The sequence below is a fragment of the Homo sapiens genome, chromosome 12, assembly GCF_000001405.40.
Source record: "Homo sapiens chromosome 12, GRCh38.p14 Primary Assembly".
Classification (NCBI taxonomy): domain Eukaryota; kingdom Metazoa; phylum Chordata; class Mammalia; order Primates; family Hominidae; genus Homo; species Homo sapiens.
Genome location: NC_000012.12, coordinates 101,392,968 through 101,413,415, shown reverse-complemented (window position 1 = coordinate 101,413,415; position 20,448 = coordinate 101,392,968). Strand labels below are relative to the sequence as shown.

Sequence of the window (20,448 nt, the reverse complement as noted above, 5' to 3'; positions counted from 1 at the left end):
TTCACTCTGATGGTAGTTTCTTTTGCTGTGCAGAAGCTCTTTAGTTTAATTAGATCCCATTTGTCAATTTTGGCTTTTGTTGCCATTGCTTTTGGTGTTTTAGACATGAAGTCCTTGCCCATGCCTATGTCCTGAATGGTATTGCCTAGGTTTTTTTCTAGGGCTTTTATGGTTTTAGGTCTAACATTTAAGTCTTTAATCCATTTTGAATTAATTTTTGTATAAGGTGTAAGGAAGGGATCCAGTTTCAGCTTTCTACATATGGCTAGCTAGTTTTCCCAGCACCATTTATTAAATAGGGAATCCTTTACCCATTTCTTGTTTTTTTCAGGTTTGTCAAAGATCAGATGGTTGTAGATGTGTGGTATTATTTCTGAGGGCTCTGTTCTGTATCATTGGTCTATATCTCTGTTTTGGTACCAGTATCATGCTGTTTTGGTTAATGTAGCCTTGTAGTATAGTTGAAGTCAGGTAGCATGATGCCTCCAGCTTTGTTCTTTTGGCTTAGGATTGACTTGGCAACGCGGGCTCTTTTTTGGTTCCATATGAACTTTAAAGTAGTTTTTTCCAATTCTGTGAGGAAAGTCATTGGTAGCTTCATGGGGATGGCATTGAATCTATAAATTACCTTGGGCAGTATGGCCATTTTCACAATACTGATTCTTCCCATCCATGAGAATGGAATGTTCTTCCATTTGTTTGTGTCCTCTTTTATTTTGTTGAGCAGTGGTTTGTAGTTCTCCTTGAAGAGGTCCTTCACATGCCTTGTAAGTTGGATTCCTAGGTATTTTATTCTCTTTGAAGAAAACTGGCACAAGACAAGGATGCCCTCTCTCACCACTCCTATTCAACATAGTGTTGGAAGTTCTGGCCAGGGCAATCAGGCAGGAGAAAGAAATAAAGGGTATTCAATTAGGAAAAGAGGAAGTCAAATTGTCCCTGTTTGCAGAAGACATGATTGTATATTTAGAAAACCCCATCGTCTCAGCCCAAAAATCTCCTTAAGCTGATACTTCAGCAAAGTCTCAGGATACAAAATCAATGTGCAAAAATCACAAGCATTCTTATACACCAATAACAGACAAACAGAGAGCCAATTCATGGTTGCAATTTTTAAATAGGATGACATTTGAGGTGAGATCAATTCTACATGGTTGTCTAAAGAAAAAAATTCTAAAGACTTTAAAGAAAAAAATTCCAAAGACTTACAATCTAAACATTTAGTTTTGACCAGGTGCAGTGGCTCATACCTGTAATCCTAACACTTTGGGAGGCTGAGGCAGGAGGATCACTTGAGTCTAAGAAGTCAAGCTCAGCCTGGGCAACAGAATGGGACCCCATTTCTATGAACAAATTAAAAATTTTTAAATTTGCTTTTCACGCCTGTAGTCCCAGTTACTTGTGAGGCTGAGCTGGGAGAATCGCTTGAGCCCTGGAGGTCTAGGCTGACATGAGCCATGATGACACTACTGTACTCCAGCCTAGGTGACAAAGTGAGACCCTGTCTCAAATAAATAAATACATAAATAAATGAAAACCAAACATTTAGTTTTAATTCTAGCATGATGCTATAATTCTACTTCCTCAAAGACTTCATTTTAATAAGTAGGAAACTATAATACTAGGTCAATATTAATAGGAATGACTACATTTTGAAAAGCAACATTGCCCTAAAGATATGTATCTTTCCTACAGAGTAATGGCTGTCATTAGTTAGAATCATAAAATATACAGGAAATGGCAGTTTTGTTATTTTATTTTTCAACACCTTATCATGACCTTTATGCATTTGCGTTCCTATAAAAGTAGGAACCTTGCTGTGGTCATAAACTGAGAGAAGCAGTGGTGGAGGTGGGATGTAATCACCAATAAAGATTAGCTAAGTTTCTCTTGGCTATTTATGACTTTGTTAATTATAAATTTGTCTCAACACTTTTATTCTTTTTTAAAATTTTTTAAAATATGGAACACTTCAATTTGCATGTCATTGTTGTGCAGAGGCCATGCTAATCTTCCTTGTATTCTTCAATTTTAGTGTATGTGCTGCTGAAACAAGCTCTCAATACTTTTTTAAAAAACCTTGAGTATTATGTGTTGATAACTATTCTATTTCATGTGCGTTGGCTCATTAAATCTCTTTATTCAATGTCTCAACACTTTATTTATCCATTTATTAGCAAAAAGGTCTTGCTCTGTTGCCCTAGCTAGATCGTAGTGGCTTGATCATAGCTCACAGCAGCCTCAAACTTCTGGGCTCAAGCAATCCTTCTGCCTCAGCCTCCGAAGTAGCCGGGACCACAGGTGTGTGTCACCAGGCCTGGCTAATTACAAAAATAATTTTCTTTTTTAGATACGGGGTCTCATTATATTGCCCAGCTGGTCTTGAACTGCTGACCTCAATCTATCCTTCCGCCTCAATCCAAAGTGCTAGGATTACAGGCATGAGCCATTGCTCTGGCCTTTGTTTTGTTTTCAATGCCTGTAGGGAATTAGGTCAGTTCTTTACTAACAAAGCAAAGCATTATATGATCAAATTTTGAAAAATGAGAATTTTTGATCAAAATGCCTAATGGGTCTTTTTTAGTCTTTATTACACTGTTATTTCCACAGTGACTTGTAACTAGGTGCTTAATATAGATTCTGAAAGGCTGTCAATACATTTAAATTTGTATATAGTATTTCAGTTTACAAAGCATCGCGATATATATCTCATTTATCTGGTTCAGAATATGTAGTTTGAATACACAATTATATTACAGCACATTTTTCCTTTCAGTTCTATTTTATTTATTTTTTTGAGATGGAGTCTTGCTCTGTCGCCCAGGCTGGAGTGCAGTGGTGCGATCTCAGCTCACTGCAACCTTCGCCTCCCGGGTTCAAGAGATTCTCCTGCCTCAGCCTCCCGAGCAGCTGGCATTACAGGCACCTGCCACCACACCCGGCTAATTTTTGCATTTTTAGTAGAGACAGGGTTTCACCATGTTGGCCGAGCTGGTCTTGAACTCCTGACCTCAGGTGATCCACCCACCTCGGCCTCCCAGAGGGCTGGGATTACAGGCATGAGTCACCGTGCCCCGCCTCAGTTCTCTTTTAAAGGGAATCTGTATTTTCAAGAATTACACACATCATACTCAAATATAAATCTGACATTGACCTAAGTTTGAAGTAGTAATGGCCAAGATCTTTCAAGCAGCAGCAAACTAATCTTGTTTAAGAGGAGGTATTATAGAATCATAAGCACAGAGGTCCAATAATTAGACCACACAGTGCTTACAAAGGATAGCCTTAGAAAGGTTCAGGTGTTTAGGTAGAGCCCTTCTCCCCTTCTCAAACCATTAACAAAAATAAAAATAAACAAAACAAAACTTTTCCTTGCAGGAAAATTTCCGTGAACCTGTGGTTTTGGGGGCAAGGATGAGAGCAAGAGGCAAAAACTAGTTCAGAACCTAGACAACTAGTGGAGTCTGCAAACAAATCAAAACCAAGATAGGCATGGTTGGTGAGCATGTAAATTGGTATAGCCACTATGGAAGGCAGTATGGAGGCTCCTCAAAAAATTAAAAATAGAACTACAGTATAAACCATATAGTATATACCATATATATCATATATGCATATGTACCATATATACAATATATACGTATATACCATATATTCTGGGTATATATCCAAAGAAAATGAAATCAGTATGTCAAAGAGATATCTGCATCACCATGCTCATTGCAGCATTATTCATAATAGCCAAAGTATGGAATCACCTAAGAGTGAACTGATGGATAAAGAAAACGTGAAATGTAAAAATGTGGTATATGTATGTATATTTATATATATAATGAATACTATGCAGCCTTTAAAAAGAAGAAAATCCTGTCATTTGTGACAACATGGGTGAATTTATGCTAAGGGAAATAAGCTAGGCACAGAAACACAAATACTTCATGATCCCACTTATATGTAGAGTCAAAAAAAGTGGAACTCATAGAATGAGAGCAGAATAATGGCGGGATCTTGGCTCACTGCAACCTCTGCCTCCCAGGCTCAAGTGATCCTCCCATCTCAGCCTCTCAAGTAGCTGGGACTACAAGTGCCACTGTGCCTGGCTAATTTTTTTATTTTTTTGTAGAGATGGGGTCTCACTATGTTGCCTAGGCTGGACTCCAACTCCTGGGCTCAAGGGATCTGCCCGCCTCGGCCTCCCAAAGAGCTGGGATTACAGGCCTGAGCCACGACACCTGGCCGACCTTAAATATTCTTAGCACAAAATAAACATATACACACAAGCACACACGACTATGTGAGGTGATGGGTATGTTATCATTTCACAACATATACAACTATGAAAACATCACATGGTACACTGTAAATATATACAATTTTTATTTAAAGCTAGAAAAATTCTTTTAAAATAAACTAAAAAGGCAGTCCATAAGCTTCTGTTGAATGGATGAAAATCTCTACCATAAATAAAAACATAATATGCAAAGGTATTAATAAGATTTGGAAGAAAACCTAAGAGAGTATTAACAGTAGTGACTACTGGGGATCACCGAGATACAGGGTATTAGGGATGGAAGGTTTACTTTTCTCTTTTTTTTTTTGAGACGGAGTGTCGCTCTGTCGCCCAGGCTGGAGTGCAGTGGCACGATCTCGACTCACTGCAACTTCTGCCTCCTGAGTTCAAGTGATTCTCCTGCCTCAGCCTCCTGAGTAGCTGGGACTACAGGCGCCCGCCACCACGCCTGGTGAATTTTCTGTATTTTTAGTAGAGACGGGGTTTCACCGTGTTAGCCACGATGGTCTCGATCTCCTGACCTCGTGATCCGCCCGCCTCGGCCTCCCAAAGTGCTGGGATTACAGGCGTGAGCCACCGCGCCCGGCCGGAAGGTTCACTTTTCAATGGATCTTTGGGAAGTTTCAAAACATACATGCTCAACCTTTAAAAATTTCTCTAGGGGAAATCCCTTCTCCACATCCTATAGGTGTGCTTCCTTCTTCCTCTCCACACACTTCACTATCAAAACCTACATTACTTCCAACAGTCGACCCTCGAGGGAATAAGTCCCTGGTCCCCACGATCGGGACCAGCCAGTCCACACTGCCGACCCCTGAAAGGCGGTCTCAGCTGCTCGGTCAGCGAGAAAAAAAGCCGGCGAGGTCCTCGTCCTGCAGGCCACAGCGAAGACAAAAACCTCTGGTTACTGGCCTCAGGTGCAAGGCTGCTCCGCATTGGCAGCGCGGTACCATTCCTATTATTATTACGTAGTCTTGTTTCTTTCTGGGAGAAAGCACCTAGGGAGAGTTGGGCTGGCCCCGCAGGGCGCTCCGGGACACGCGTCCTCTGCAACGCCGCAGCCTGCGCCAGCGTTCGACCGGGACGACTCATCGAGGCCCGACTCGCATTTTCAGTTGTCAGATTCGCCACTTTTTGGTGTCAGAATTTAAAACAAAAATTCCAATTTCTCTATTTCAGAAGCTCTTTCTGTCCAGAAAAACACAAGCAGGAGAGACTTCAGGTTTTTGAATTATTCGTCTCTTCTGGCCTCCACGGTATCTACATCCAGTGAGCGGGGACCGTGAGTCGAAAGCGACGACGCGGATGCTCAGGCCACCGTTCCCGGCGCGCAGTCGCAGCTGACCCTCGCTCCCGCCCCCGCCTGGAGTCCGACGTGGAAGTTGCTGGCTGACTGGGCTTGCGAGGAAACCGCCTCGGAGCTGCAGCCGAAGGCCAAGGAATCACTGAAGATCGGCGAGGGAGGACAGGGGGTTCATCATGGGTGAGGGGTTCGAGAAGGGCACCTGGGCGCGCTCGAGGGAGCCGCGGCCGAGGGCTGGGGTGCAGAGGAGGAGAGGGGCCGGCCAGGATACCCTAGAGTAGCCAGCTCCTCAGGGGGCGGGTCGCGGAGGACTTGACTCACTTTGGATCTTCATCTGTAGGGGTGGATCCGGCCTCTCGCGTTCTCCTCCGTCCTCTCTCGGTTCCCCTTGATTCCTGCGGGGTCCAGGGACCCGGACAGCTTGGGGACGTCCGCAGAGCCTGGGTTCGAGTTCTTTACCCTTATCATGAAGTTTTCCCTCATCCCCAGCTCCACTTGCTGGGCAGAGTTGTTCTTGCGGAGGCTGGCAACGCGTCAGTCGCAGGTTCGCCGAGGTTTCTTGGTGAAAGATGAGCTGCGGCCCCAGAGTGGAAGCTTAATCATTCTCTTTACCAGGGGCGCTGGGACGGCGTCAGTTTGAAAAACCTGAGAGCAGGTGTTGCTTATGTTGTTTTATGGCCAGTTTGGCATTTGTCTGCTAATCTGCTGTAGCGTTTCATGTAATAATACGGGTATTTCTAGTCGGCAAATGAAACTTTATTCTTGGTTCTTGGCCCGCTGATTGAGGGAACTGCATTCTCACAAGCATCAGGTAACACCCTCGCCCCGCTAGAACCCAAGTGAGGGTGCACATTCTTTAACTCGTTTCTCACCCTCCAAATGAAGGTGCAGATTCTTTGGCTTGGTTAAATCCCTCCACAGTTTTCTGGGGAGCATACTTCTTGCTCCCAAGCATCACAGGCGCTGTCCTGTCTTCCATAACCGCCTTCAGTTTTGTTCCGCCTCTCTTCTACCTGTAAATGGTAGAAAGGACTTTGTCAAGTCACACCTATTCTGTTGAACTTTCCCAAGGTTCTCTAGCCCATGGTGTTGTTCATTTTTCAACTCGCAGCTCTTAGTTATGCCATGTCTTTGCCAAATAACAGTGTGGCATCACTTCTGATGTTAACTATTTTTTTTTGTATTAATGTAACTTGTTTTTAATCTTCTCTAATGGCTCTGGATGGGAAAAGGACTGTGCTTTTTATCCTACACAATACTTGGTGTACAGGAAGCTTTCTGGGAATATTTTGTGATGCATTGGATAGAGCTTTATTATTTTTAAAAGTGGGTTTTTTGTCAAAAATAGTTATTGTTTTCAGCTTTTTTCTCAATTTCTTGTACTAGCTATATTGCTTCGTGGAGAACTCTGATTGAAGTTGGTTATAGTGGTACTGCTGCTGTACAGTACTTTTCCTGTGCGAGGATTACATTGTCCCACTATCCTCCTTACTGGCCCCTTGGTTTTTAGGGGTAGTGAGGGGATCATGCTAAAATATTCCTATTCTGCTGATTAGAAAATGAGATTCCCAAAGGCCGCGGCCATATTTCTCTTATTATTTGGTTTATCTTCTGTGCCTGCATGACACAATAGTAACATAACTAAGGACATAGTAACATAACTAATTACTTGTTTGATATTGAATAATATATTTCATTGGGAGGAAAAATATGCACCTACGCATCCAGGAAATTATAATATTTAATTTGGTATTTAGCTCTCAAAGGACAAGGTTAGATGTTTTGTATACCTAGTTCACAAAATGACATTGTGTATGTTTTTTCTTTTATTATTTTTTAGGTGGCTTTTTCTCAAGTATATTTTCCAGTCTGTTTGGAACTCGGGAAATGAGAATTTTAATTTTGGGATTAGATGGAGCAGGAAAAACCACAATTTTGTACAGATTACAAGTGGGAGAAGTTGTTACTACTATACCTAGTAAGTGTTGGTATGATGAGCTAATTGTAGGGACTTTCTGGTCTCCATCCAACATAACTATTTCTTTCTTTCTTTTTTGTTTGTTTTAGTAGAGATCAGGTATCATCACTATGTTGTCCAAGCTGGTCTTAGACTCTTGGCCTCAAGTGATCCTCCTGCCTTGGCCTCCCAAAGTGCTGGGATTACAGGCATGAGCCACTATGCCAGGCCTATTTCTGAATAAATTAATTCATATAATAAAGTATTTGATAAAGTTTGTAAACTGCTAGTATGAACATAACATTGATAACACTTTTTCCATCAACTAAGAGGCAGCTTAGTGTAATTTAAGGACCCTTGTTCTGGTTTACGGCCGGGTTGGGCTGTTTATAGGTTTAAGTTACTAAATCTTACTGAGAGCCAGTATCTTTACTAATAAAATACATAAGATAACAAATACCCACTGGTTTTCAGGGGGAAATAAACAAAGTAGGTAAAAGTACCTTTTAAATCTGTGTAAAGAATTATATAAATGTTAAGTGATGTTACATGTGAAGTGCCTTTTTTTCCTGTATTTGTTACTATTTTAATTAAGATTAGTTTATCTTAGGTAATTATATTGATTACTTTTAAAGATCTGAGTTGCAGAGACTGAGTGTTGAAGTAATTTGGTACCTTAAAAATATCAAGAGAAGGCCGGGCACAGGAGCTCACGCCTGTAATGGCAGCACTTTGGGAGGCCAAGGCGGGTGGATCACCTGAGGTCGGGAGTTGGAGACCAGCCCAACCAACATGGAGAAACCCCATCTCTACTAAAAATACAAAATTAGCCAGGCGTGGTGGTGCATGCCTGTAATCCCAACTACTCGGAAGGCTGAGGCAGGAGAATCGCTTGAACCTGGGAGGCAGAGGTTGTGGCAGGCCAAGATTGCACCATTGCACTCCAGCCTGGGCAACAAGAGCAAAACTAGGTCTCAAAATATATATGTGTATATGTATATATTTATTAAGAGAAGAAATACCTCAATTTTAATCAATTATTACTGTCTTACAAAAATATTCTCCAACAGTCTTACTGACTATATGAGAATACTGTTGTTATTTATACTTTTTTCATTTGTTGCCTTGAATTTACTTAGAGAAGAGTAGTACATTTAAATTAAAGAGTTCATACAGTTTGCTCAAGATTTTTTAAATTATGCCTCTAATGTTAGTCTGTCACTCAGGGTATTTCTATATTGTTACTGTTTAAATTTATGGACTAAAACGAAAGAGGCTAGCCTCTAAGAAAGAAGAGCGTTTTGAACCCTGTAATGTCTGTTATTCCTTTTTGCTACCTTCAGTAAATTTTAGTGCCCTTAGTTTTTGCTTCTCAAAATCACCCATCTCTGTCTGGGCATCTCCTGCAGTGCACAGAGCAGCACAGTGGATAGTTTGGAGTTTCAGTGAGTGCTGCTTTACACCACACTCTTTGTTGAGACAGTGTCTTGCTTTTTTGCCCAGGCTGGAGTGCAGTGGCACATTCATAGCTCACTGCAGCGTCTACCTCTACCTCTACCTCCTGGGCTCAAGCGATCTTCCCACCTCAGCCTCCCAAAGTGTTGGGATTACAGGCATGAGCCACTGCACCCAGTCTACACCATTCTCTTGTCTTGCACATATAAACGATGTTTTTTACTGTTGGTGAACATTGTGATTACACTCCTACCTAATTCTAAGGGAGACATCATGAACTTGCATTTTAGTTTTTTGCTCAAATTTGTCATAGTATTGTTATTTTTTAATTGTAATAGACATACTTGCCAAATACTCAAAGGTATCACTTACCACTGCAGACTTAAATATAAAACAAAAGCTAATTGTCCAGTTATACCTGGAAGTTATTTTTTATTTATTTATTTTTTTGAGACAGAGTCTCACTCTATTGCCCAGGCTGAAGTGCAGTGGCAAGATCTCGGCTCACTGCAACCTGTGCCTCCCAGGTTCAAGCGATTCTCATGCATCAGCCTCCAGAGTGGCTGGGATTACAGGCATGTGCCACCACACCCGGCTAATTTTTGTATTTTTAGAAGAGATGGGGTTTCACAGTGTTGGCTAGGCTGGTCTCGAACTCCTGACCTCAGGTGATCCACCCGCCTTGGCCTCCCAAAGTGCTGGGATTACAGGTGTGAGCCACCGCACCCAGCCATGGAAGTTATTTTTTACCTATTTTTCACCTAAGAAGGATGGCAGAGAAAAGGGATGGGACACCTGCCCTTTGACCACCCAGCCATGACCTTATTACAAGTGAGTTCTGGAGGATGTCTGCAGATGGGCTGTGAGATTGAAAGCTGCAGCCATGGCTGTGTCCATGCTGTAGTTTAGAACTGAAGTTTAGCTTTTTTTCTTTTGGTCTGTTTATTTGCTGCCAGCCAAAATTCTGCTTTTTATAGTACATCCACAACTGTACTTTCTAAATACAGCTTTCGAACACTTTTAACTACTCTATTATGAGGGGAGTTTAATATAATAGGATTTCCATTGAGCTAAAAATTATGTTTTCCTTTTTATTTCTTTTTTAAATTCTTTTTTTAATTTATTTGAGCTAAAATTATATACTTTATTTGCAGAACTGCTGGCTTTTAAAAAATATCCTGAAGATGGTATTGATCTTGCTAATTGATGTTTTGTGCACACACCTGCACATGTGTGGGGGAGCAGAGCATACTATTTCGTCTTAAATGGTATAAAATCTCAACCAATAATGTGATTCAACAATTACCATTTCTTTTTAACTCGAATCCTAAGACAAATTATATATATATATATTTTAAACTCTAATAACAGTTACCATTAATTGCTGTAACTCAATTAGATAGGATATTTTGAAGGTGGAATGTATTAGTCTACACATACCACTGATTTGATTTCTCTTCCAGCCATTGGATTTAATGTAGAGACGGTGACGTACAAAAACCTTAAATTCCAAGTCTGGGATTTAGGAGGACAGACAAGTATCAGGTATGGTACAAAGACCAGGTTATTTGGTAGTATTTGACATTTATTGATTCTTTTAAGGGTTAAAATCAGTAAACCCGAATATGTGTTCTATTGTAATTTAAATGGAGCCACCTAGTTTAAAATGAGGTAAAATTGGGAACTATTTCCTTAGAGCATCCATTGAGTTAAAACTTAAGGAAGCCCAGTTTTCCAGATACCTGTTTAATGAAAATCTTTTCACGAAAATCTCAAGACCTTATTACTTCAGCTATTCTCAATTAGAAAGGACCCTCCATTTAGTTCTTGTCAGTCTCTCCTCTCTGAAACACATTGTTTTGGAATTCATTAAAGTACCTTGCAGGCATACCATTTAGGGCTAATATAAAAATAAATGCCATTGGCCGGGCATGGTAGCTCACGCCTGTAATCCCAGCACTTTGGGAGGCCGAGGTGGGCGGATCATCAGGTCAGGAGTTGGAGACCAGCCTGACCAACATGGTGAAACCTCGTCTCTACTAAAAATACAAAAATTAGCTGGGCATGGTGGTGCGTGCCTATAATTCCAGCTACCTGGGAGGCTGAGGCAGGAGAATTGCTTGTACCAGGACTTGGGAGCTGGAGGTTGCAGTGAGCTGAGATCGCGCAACTGCACTCCAGCCTGGGCTACAGAGCAAGACTCTGTCTCAAAAAAAATAAATGAATAAATAAAAAATAAATGCCTTCTGAAGTTCAGGTCTTCTGCTTAGCATTTTGGGCTTGACATGGCAACAGTGAATGTTTGATGACCGTCAGTAGTTGGTCACGATAGTACCATCTTAAAAGATTAGTAATGCATTCTCCAAACATTCTGACTTCTTTTAACTCATTTCTTGAATCACGTTTCTTTTTTTTTAAATTGTGCAGCCTCCCAAGCCAGAGTAGGCTCAGAGAGACTCCATTGAATCACTTTTGAGTTTATTTATAATTTTAGCCATTTCTACTGCTTGATGTCAGTGATTAATTTCATGACTGTTAAATAAAATCACGTTTAAAAAGTTTATTCCTCTTAAGGGGTGCCTAGTTAAAGATTTGTTTAAGAAGATGTAATGATCAGGTCTGTGTACAACTTTTCTATCAGTATATTTAGTGATTTCATAGATTATAAATAAATTTTGTCAGCCTGAAGTCTGAATGAATTCATTTGGAAACTCCCTGGTCCTGTGAGTCAATGTTTATCAACATTCTTTTTTTTTTTTTTTTTTTTTTTTTTGAGACAGAGTTTCACTCTTGTTGCCCAGGCTGGAGTGCAATGGCACCATCTCAGCTCACTGGAACCTCTGCCTTCCTGGTTGAAGTGATTTTCCTGCCTCAGCCTCCCGAGTAGCTGGGATTACAGGCACCTGCCACCATGTCCAGCTAATTTTGTATTTTTAGTAGAGATGGGGTTTCTCCATGTTGGTCAGGCTGGTCTCGAACTCCCGACCTCAGTTGATCTGCCCTCCTCAGCCTCCTAAAATGCTGGGATTACAGATGTGAGCCACCGTGCCCAGCCAATGTTTATCAACATTCTTTTGACTCCATCACATCTGAGGGATATGGTACATATATCCACCAGAAACAGTGAATCATTAAGGCATTGATTCTAACATGTGTGGGACAGAATTGGCAATTGATATGTCAGTTTCTTCCTTAAAACAATAACAATATGTTCTCCCCTTTTAAATTTTCTCTAGGCCATACTGGAGATGTTACTATTCAAACACAGATGCAGTCATTTATGTAGTAGACAGTTGTGACCGAGACCGAATTGGCATTTCCAAATCAGAGTTAGTTGCCATGTTGGAGGTAAGAAAACGTAACCACTTTAAAATGTGGGGCAGTCATTTACATATTATTACATTGAAGAATAATTAAAAAGAATGCAGGGGTTGTTCCCTCCATCCTTTTAAAATTATTTTCTTTTATGGAAATGATTTTCTATTCCAAAAATACAGTTGAGGAGGGTTGGAGACAAAACAACAACAAAAATTAACCTCGTAACTTCCTCTTCAAGCCAGATTGCTTGATTTTCCAGGAGGTTCAGAAGAGCTCACTTAAACAAAAGCATCTATTCTAAGTCACTTCTTTGATGTGACTTTTAAAATATGTCTTTTTATTTTTAGCTGTTTTAGAAGGATTCAAGTTCAGAGAAATATGTATTTCTGGGTTACTGGCACAATGCTGGCCTCACGTTTATCGTTTTTTATCCTTCCCAGTGTTTACAGTGCTTTTGACCTTCTTTCTGTTCTTTGGACACGAGCTTGCACACCTGGCTCAGGGCCTTTTGCACTTGCTGATCCGTCTGCTTGGAATACTATTCTCCAGCATCTTTGCATGGCTGCCTTCCTGACGTGTTTCTTCCCACATCTCTTCCCCAGAAAGAAGTCTTATTTATTCTCTAATCCTTTACCCTTCTTTATTCTTTATACCGATATTGTTTCTTTTTTTTCTTTTTCTTTTTCTTTTTTTTTTCTTTTTTTTTGTAGAGACGGGGTCTACCTATGGTGCCCAGGCTGGTCCCAAACTCCTGTCCTCAAGTGATCCTCCTGCCTCGGCCTCCTAGTGTTGGGATTACAGGTGTGAGCCATTGCACCCCACTTACTGTTTTTTTACATTATTTTTAAATGTATTTGTTGGCTGGGCGTGGTGGCTCACGCCTGTAATCCCAGCACTTTGGGAGGCCGAGGCGGGCAGGTCACCAGAGATCATCAGGAGTTTGAGACCAGCCTGTCCAACATGGTGAAACCTCATCTCTACTGAAAATACAAGAAAATTAACCGGGCATGGTGGTGTGTGCCTGTAGTCCCAGCTACTTGGGAGGCTAAGGCAGGAGAGTCACTTGAACCCAGGAGGCAGAGGTTGCAGTGAGCCGAGATCGTGCCCCTGCACTACAGCCTGGGTGACAAGAGTGAGACTCTGTCTCAAAAAATAAAAATTAAAAAAAAATATATTTGTTTACTTATGTATCTCTCCCTCTAAAATGTAAGTTCTTTGAGTTTACCCTGATAGGAGGAACAATGTATAGTACTTAATTAAGAATTCAATACATCTTATTCACTGAAGTTAATAAGATCATATATTGGCTAACTGATCAAATTCAGAGGATGCATTAAATAATCCATTTTTAAAAAATGAAAAAATAATCAAATGTACTATGATAATAATAAAATTGCCCTTGCTCTGGAAAATTAGATGGATAAGTTTCTTTCTCTTGTCAAAAACTGGATTCTGAATTGTTTAATCAAGGGATGTTTAAATATAAGTTCTAGGCCAGTTGATACCTAGGTAAAAGCATCCTCAGACGAGGGGACTATGTACTTTTGAATTCTTTTTTTTTTTTTTTTTTTTTTTTTTTTTTAGACAGAGTCTTGCTCTGTCGCCCAGGCTGGAGTGAGTGGCGTGATCTCCACTCACTACAATTTTCGCCTCCTGGGTTCAAGCGATTCTTCTGTTTCAGCCTTCTGAGTAGCTGGGACTATAGGCTTCTGCCACCACACCCGGCTTATTTTTGTATTTGTAGCAGAGATGGGGTTTCACCATGTTGGCCAGGCTGGTCTCGAACTCCTGACCTCAGCAGTTTGCCCGCCTCCTGATCTGCCAGCCTTGGCCTCCCAAAGTACTGGGATTACAGGCATGAGCCACCGCGCTCAGCCCAGGACTTTTGATTTCTTGAACTACTGACTTAATGGCTTCCAAGTTATAAATTGCAGACTTAATAGTTTTAAACATTTGGTTAATTTTTTTTTTTTTACATCATAGCATTATATTTATTATAAGAGCTTCTTAGACCAAATTTAAATGTAAGGATAAGGTTTAATTGCCTTGGGTATAATAGGTTTTTTAAAGAACAGTTTTATTTAGGTATAATTCACATGATATAGTGTATTTTTATCATATAAAGTATTGCTTAAAAGGAATGGATTATTGACTTCAGTTTACAATTTTTGAGTTGTGCAGGATTGTTGTTACTTGCAGTGTTAGGATTTGACTTATAAAGTCTTACAGAGAAAGAAGTAAAAGTTGGATTCTTTCTTTAGGAAGTCACTTTTAATTCATCAATAAATATCATGTTATGTTAAGTATGGGCCAAGTACGAGTCAGGACTGTTAATGTTAAAACATATAGACACAGGCCAGGTGTGGTGGCTCACGCCTGTAATCCCAGCACTTTGGGAGGCCGAGGCAGGTGGATCACTTCAGGTCAGGAGTTTGAGACCAGCCTGGCCACCCATATCTACTAAAAATACAAAAATGAGCCGGGTGTAGTAGCGCACGCCTGTAATCCCAGCTACACGGGAGGCTGAGGCAGGAGAGTCACTTGAACCCAGGAGGCGGAGGTTGCAGTGAGCTGAGATAGTGCCACTGCACTCCAACCTGAGTGATGGAGTGAGACTCCATCTCAAAACAAACAAACAAAAAATATATAGTATAGACACAAAAGCAGTTTAGGTTTCAACTTTTTTTTTTTTTTTGAGACGGAGTTTCACTATTGTTGCCCAGGCTGGAGTGCAGTGGTGCAATCTCGGCTCACTGCAGCCTCCACCTGCCAGGTTCAAGCAATTCTCCTGCCTCAGCCTCCTGAGTAGCTGGGATTGCAAGCGCACACCACCACACCCGGCTAATTTTTGTAATTTTAGTAGAGACGGGGTTTCACCATGTTGGTCAGGCTGGTCTTGAACTCCTGACCTGGTGATCCACCCACCTCAGCCTCCCAAAGTGCTGGGATTACAGATGTGAGCCACCGTGCCTGGCCTTTCAACTTTCCTATACACAAAAATGAATTCTAAATGGGTAAATAATTAAATGTAAAAAATGAAAATTATAAGAACATATAAGGAATTCAAAAGATGAGATTTAATTATATTAATGTAAACAAAACTCCCCCAAAGCTCAGATATGGCAAATATAAACAAGATTAAGATAAGAAACCAGGCCTAACCAGAAGCCAATGACTAAGGATTAGTGATCTGAATCATAGCAAGATCTTTTGCAAAATGAGCAAAAGGCAATTCGTAGGGGAAAAACATTGCTAATAACATTTGCATTTGTTTTTAAAGAGACAGGGTCAGCAGGGCGCGGTGGCTTATGCCTGTAATCCCAGCACTTTGGGAGGCCGAGGCGGGTGGATCATGAGGTCAGGAGTTCGAGACCAGTCTGAGTGACCAACATGGTGAAACCTCATCTCTACTAAAAATACAAAAATTAGCTGGGCGTGGCAGCGGGCACCTGTAGTCCCAGCTACTCAGGAGGCTGAGGCAGGAGAATCACTTGAACCCAGGATGCAGAGGCTGCAGTGAGCCAAGATTGCACGACTGCAACTTCAGCCTGAGCAACAGAGCGAGACACTGTCTTAAAAAAAGAAAAAAAAAAAAGAGACAGGGTCTCCCTCTGTCCCCTAGGCTGGAGTGCAGTGGCACAACCAAAGCTTGTTATAACCTTGAGCTCCTCTCTCTGCTTCCTTTTTTGTTTGTTTTTTAAAAAAATTTTTGTAGAGACCCCTGTGTTGCTCAGGCTGGTCTCCAACTCCTGGACTTAAGCGATCCTCCTGCCTCAGCCCATGTGCATTTCGAATACCCTAGTAATATATAATGAGATGCTATGTTTGGAAAAGTAAATAATTCCCAACTCTACAAAGGCTGCATTGAAGATGGAGACTTTTATACACTGTTGGTAGGGTAACCTTTCTGGAAAGCTGTTCATGCATGTATTCAGTTTATCAAAGCCTGAAAAAAACTGTTCATACTTTGACTCCATTTTTAGAATATTGTGTTAAGGAAACAGATTTAAACAGAAATTTTTGTATAAAGACCCTGTCACTTGGGTTTATCTAATAGTCTAGTGGAAAGACTCTAATAAGAGTCAGATACTAGAAAATAGTTAACACAGTTTATGGTGCATGCATCCATAGTGTAGAGCATATTTAGCCATTTTTTTATTTTGAAAAAGTTGTTGTAGTTTGGAGAAACATGATTTTAATTTTTAGGCAGGGTATGGAACTATATATAAATGTGATCTTAAATGTGTAAATGTATTTACTAAATAAACTCTGAAGTATCTGCAAAACAAAGTACTAGTAGAAAACACCTAAAATGTTAACAGTGATCATATTTGGGAGGTAGGATTATGAGTGAAGCTTCTTTTCTTTATACTTCTCTATATAATTTCTATATAATTTCATAATGTGTAATATATTAATTATAAAATACACGTTTAAAATGTATTTTTGGACATTTTCTAAACTCGAGAGAGCACATTAGTTAAAAGAAATTAAATATTTTCAATTTCATTTAGGAAGAAGAGCTGAGAAAAGCCATTTTAGTGGTGTTTGCAAATAAACAGGACATGGAACAGGCCATGACTTCCTCAGAGATGGCAAATTCACTTGGGTTACCTGCCTTGAAGGACCGAAAATGGCAGATATTCAAAACGTCAGCAACCAAAGGCACCGGCCTTGATGAGGCAATGGAATGGCAAGTATCATGCTTCCAGAAGCCATCTGTGCATTTGTGTGTGCTTGCAGCTATGCACGTCCACGTGTAATTTTTCTCCCGTGTTGAGGATGAAACTTTGATTTACTTAGCAGCTTATTTCATAAGTTCCTCAAGCGTTTTCTCTCACTGGTCTTCAGGTGCATCTGTCTTCTCAACCACACCTACCTGATTACAGTTACTTAGATAAGCAAATTCTTTGCCAATTTTTAGCCTTTTCCCTGCCTCACCTCACCCTCCAATTCCTTATCCTTCAGGAATTAGCTTAAGACTCTCTTCTGAAGAGCTTTTCCTAATGTATCTCTATTCCTACTGCCTAATCACTCACTTAAAGTTAGATGCCCTTGTCACAGATTAGTGACATAGTACTTGTTTTGCTGTCTTGTAAGTTTGATTTGTTCATCTACTCATTAGATAATCACCTCCTTGAGGATTGAGACTAGTTTCACCTCTGAGTCATCCATATGTAGCCCAGAAGTAGTAGTAGCCTGGAAAATAGGTATTTGGTCTTTTTTGAATTTTTCATTCAAATCATAGACAAATTCAAAGCTTAGAGGAACCTTATGGATATCTAGTGCATAACCTCATCTGTGTTAGCTGTCATCATTTTAAGTACTTTGGAATCCACCTCCAATACAAAGTTTATTATAGATGATCATGCTTTATACCTGAAAATTAATTTTATAAAACAGTTCATTTTCTCTTTACAGGTTAGTTGAAACATTAAAAAGCAGACAGTAATTCAGTCCATTCTTCTCCCCTGAAATGAAGACTACATCACCTCTCTCCCTTTGGAAACAGTCAAGTGTACTTCACACTACTAGATGTTAAAACTATATGATTATTGGCATATACTGACTGACTGCAATATTTGTAGTAAATAGGGAAAATAAGTATTTAGTTGGAGGGATAATTTGATCGAATCACCTGAATGTTCTATGTAATGTAAAATATTCTTTTCTTGCTTTCTTGTGTTAAGGTATATATTCTATTTGTATGGAATTCTTATTCAAATACAGTTCTATTAAAGAGTATACTCCTATTGGATGAAAAAAACCTATTTTTGAATAGTAGTTGCAGCTTGTTTGTATAAATACTAAAAAATATCTTAACAGATTTTTTTCCCCTTAAAATGAATTATCTTTCCAAAGATTAGACTCAGTATGAGAGTAGGTGAGGAACATAGTTTGTGTAATATAATCTTTATTTGCTTACCTGACCACTTTTTATTAAGCTGTTTTGTTTAAAAGCTTTTGGTTATAGGCATGAATATTGTTTTGATGGTTAACTTCACTGACTTATCTGTAAGTGTCATTTTATAGTACTTTACAGTTGTCAAAAAAAATCTTACATATATTGATCTAGTTGATCGGTAGAGGAAGCTTGTGAAGTAGGTAGGACAGGTTATGATGTCTTCACTGTATGGACGTGAACCCAGGGTTCTAATAGGTTGGCTTGCCCAAGGTCACCTGCTAGCTTGTAAGGTAGGAATAGGGCTCAAAGTAAAACTTTTGGTTCAGAAGCTTGACTCATAAACTATACTATATATTCCCAAAAATGTCAGTATTGACAACACAGTCTAACTCTTAAATAAAATTATGCTAATTAGTTACATTCAAAATAATGTTTATAAATTTATTTGTCTATACTAGTAGAAGTGATCAGTGACATACTATAAATAATCCTAAATGGTTATATTTGATAGAATTCATAACACATTAAAGAGAAAATTTCACATTAAAGGAAGGTTTAAAAATCTATTTTCAGATTATAAAAGGTGTCTTTACTGGTTTTCATTCCTTTTATCTACATGTAATTGGACATGTAAACTTGTTAAAAATCAAAATCTTACTGATTGTACAGGGAGAAATTAAGCATTCTGTTTTAAAAATTAGGCTTATTGCTAGACTGTAAGTTTAAAAACAATTCATGTTCAAAGGAGCTTTTCAAATTACCCAGTCCACCACAGAATCAGCTAATGTGACAGAAGTAAATATAGTGCGTCATAATTGCTAAAAACAGGGTGAATTTCTTTCACTTAAGTTGGAAAACCAGCCTCTAAAAAATTAGGTGCTGGTAATGAGAGCTTAATACCATGGTTCCCTGCAGGTCTCAGAAACATTAGTAGTTCCTTTCTTGGCCCTCACTGTCCTTCCAGTGTTGGCCTCTGGCCTCTTCCCCTCACATTTATGTTCATTCTCCGGGCTTATATTCATTCTCTGCTGCTTTCTCCCTTCACCCGTGGGACTCTCACCCTTCTTGCTCATTCTCCAGCACCCATTCCTACTTTAGTCTCTTTGAAATCTTTTTTGGAGATTTTCCTTCAGCTACAAATGTTCCAGTACAACCAATATTACTCCTGAGGGGCAAAGACTTTTTCATATTTATGTCCCTAGTATCTGGTATGGCGCCTGGCATATGGCATTTCAGAATATGTTCATAGTTGAAACAGTAGGATAGATATTTGTCATCTTGACAAGTAGCCCTTTGCAATTTATACTTGAGTTCACTCCTGGTCAATGGCACATGGCTGGAAAATGCAGAAAGCAAGTTCACTTACAGCCTGAGGCTTATAAAGCTTGTACAGCTGCCTCCCGGCAGTCCAGGAAAACTGCAAAAAATGGGAAGTAAGGTCCTGGCAGGCAGACCCGGCATGTAGCCGCTGGCCATCTTGAATCCTAGGGCATGAAGTTGCCCCAAAGTTCAGCACTTGGTTAAGCCTGATCCCTCTGGTTTATCACAAAGAATAGGATGGGATAAAGAAAGTGGACACTTAAATAAGCTATAAATTATATGGTCCTTGTCTAGCAGGAGACAACTGCACAGGTATACTACCAGCGTTTGGATATTGATATATACATGGCAAATCTGAATATTGTTTTATGAGAGGCCTGGCAATGGGTAAAACACCAAACTTGAAATCAGAACATAGGTGCAAATGGCCACTCCTGTAGTTTCTTTTCTGTAAAATGGGATCTGGACGAATGATACCAAACGTTTCTTTCTAACATTGTATTTTATAACTCTGGCCTATGATTGTGTTGTGTCTTGCATTAAAAAAAAAAATTTGAGAGTGGTAGAATTACTTCTGTTATCTGAAATACCTGAGATGCACTTTAAACTGTTGAAATGTAAGCTCTGAGGGCAGGGACCGTATCTTATTTACTGTTAGTATCCGTTGCATCTAGTGTGGTGCACCTGGCACACAGTAGGCACTCAATAAATATGTATTGATTAAAAACAAAGACGTCTTCAATATGCCAGATATATTTGTCCTTTCTGATCTTTGCCTTAGTATTTTATTTTTAAAAATTTTATGAAAGCAATACATGCACTTAAGTCACTTAGAATTAATTAAAATCAGTCTTCTAAGATGGCCTCCTTTTGATAAATTACAAAGCCCTTAGAAGCGT

At 39.8% G+C, this 20,448-nt stretch overlaps 1 protein-coding gene and 1 pseudogene across 2 annotated transcripts, besides 2 other annotated features; one reads left to right on the top strand and one right to left on the bottom strand.

The window, feature by feature from the left end:
* On the bottom strand, positions 1,957–2,059 carry RNU6-1068P (RNA, U6 small nuclear 1068, pseudogene; annotated as a pseudogene).
* Positions 5,596–20,300, top strand: ARL1 (ARF like GTPase 1). 2 transcript variants are annotated; one of them, NM_001177.6, is made up of 6 exons: positions 5,644–5,774; positions 7,435–7,572; positions 10,470–10,551; positions 12,243–12,354; positions 16,839–17,017; positions 17,746–20,300. In NM_001177.6, the coding sequence occupies exons 1-6, from the start codon at positions 5,771–5,773 to the stop codon at positions 17,774–17,776; spliced, it is 546 nt and encodes a 181-aa protein (NP_001168.1). In that variant the 5' UTR covers positions 5,644–5,770; the 3' UTR covers positions 17,777–20,300. The 2 variants fall into 2 exon arrangements, with proteins under 2 accessions (NP_001287997.1, NP_001168.1); NM_001301068.1 differs by lacking the exon at positions 7,435–7,572 and having other exon boundaries at positions 5,596–5,774; positions 17,746–20,296.
* Positions 5,982–6,031: an enhancer, noted in NCBI's record as "active region_6863". NCBI's record gives its function as "activates an Ori minimal core promoter by ATAC-STARR-seq in GM12878 lymphoblastoid cells {active_cell/tissue: GM12878}" and the evidence as "EXISTENCE:reporter gene assay evidence [ECO:0000049][PMID:35858748]".
* Positions 6,112–6,161: an enhancer, noted in NCBI's record as "active region_6862". NCBI's record gives its function as "activates an Ori minimal core promoter by ATAC-STARR-seq in GM12878 lymphoblastoid cells {active_cell/tissue: GM12878}" and the evidence as "EXISTENCE:reporter gene assay evidence [ECO:0000049][PMID:35858748]".
* Positions 20,301–20,448: the final 148 nt, after the last annotated feature.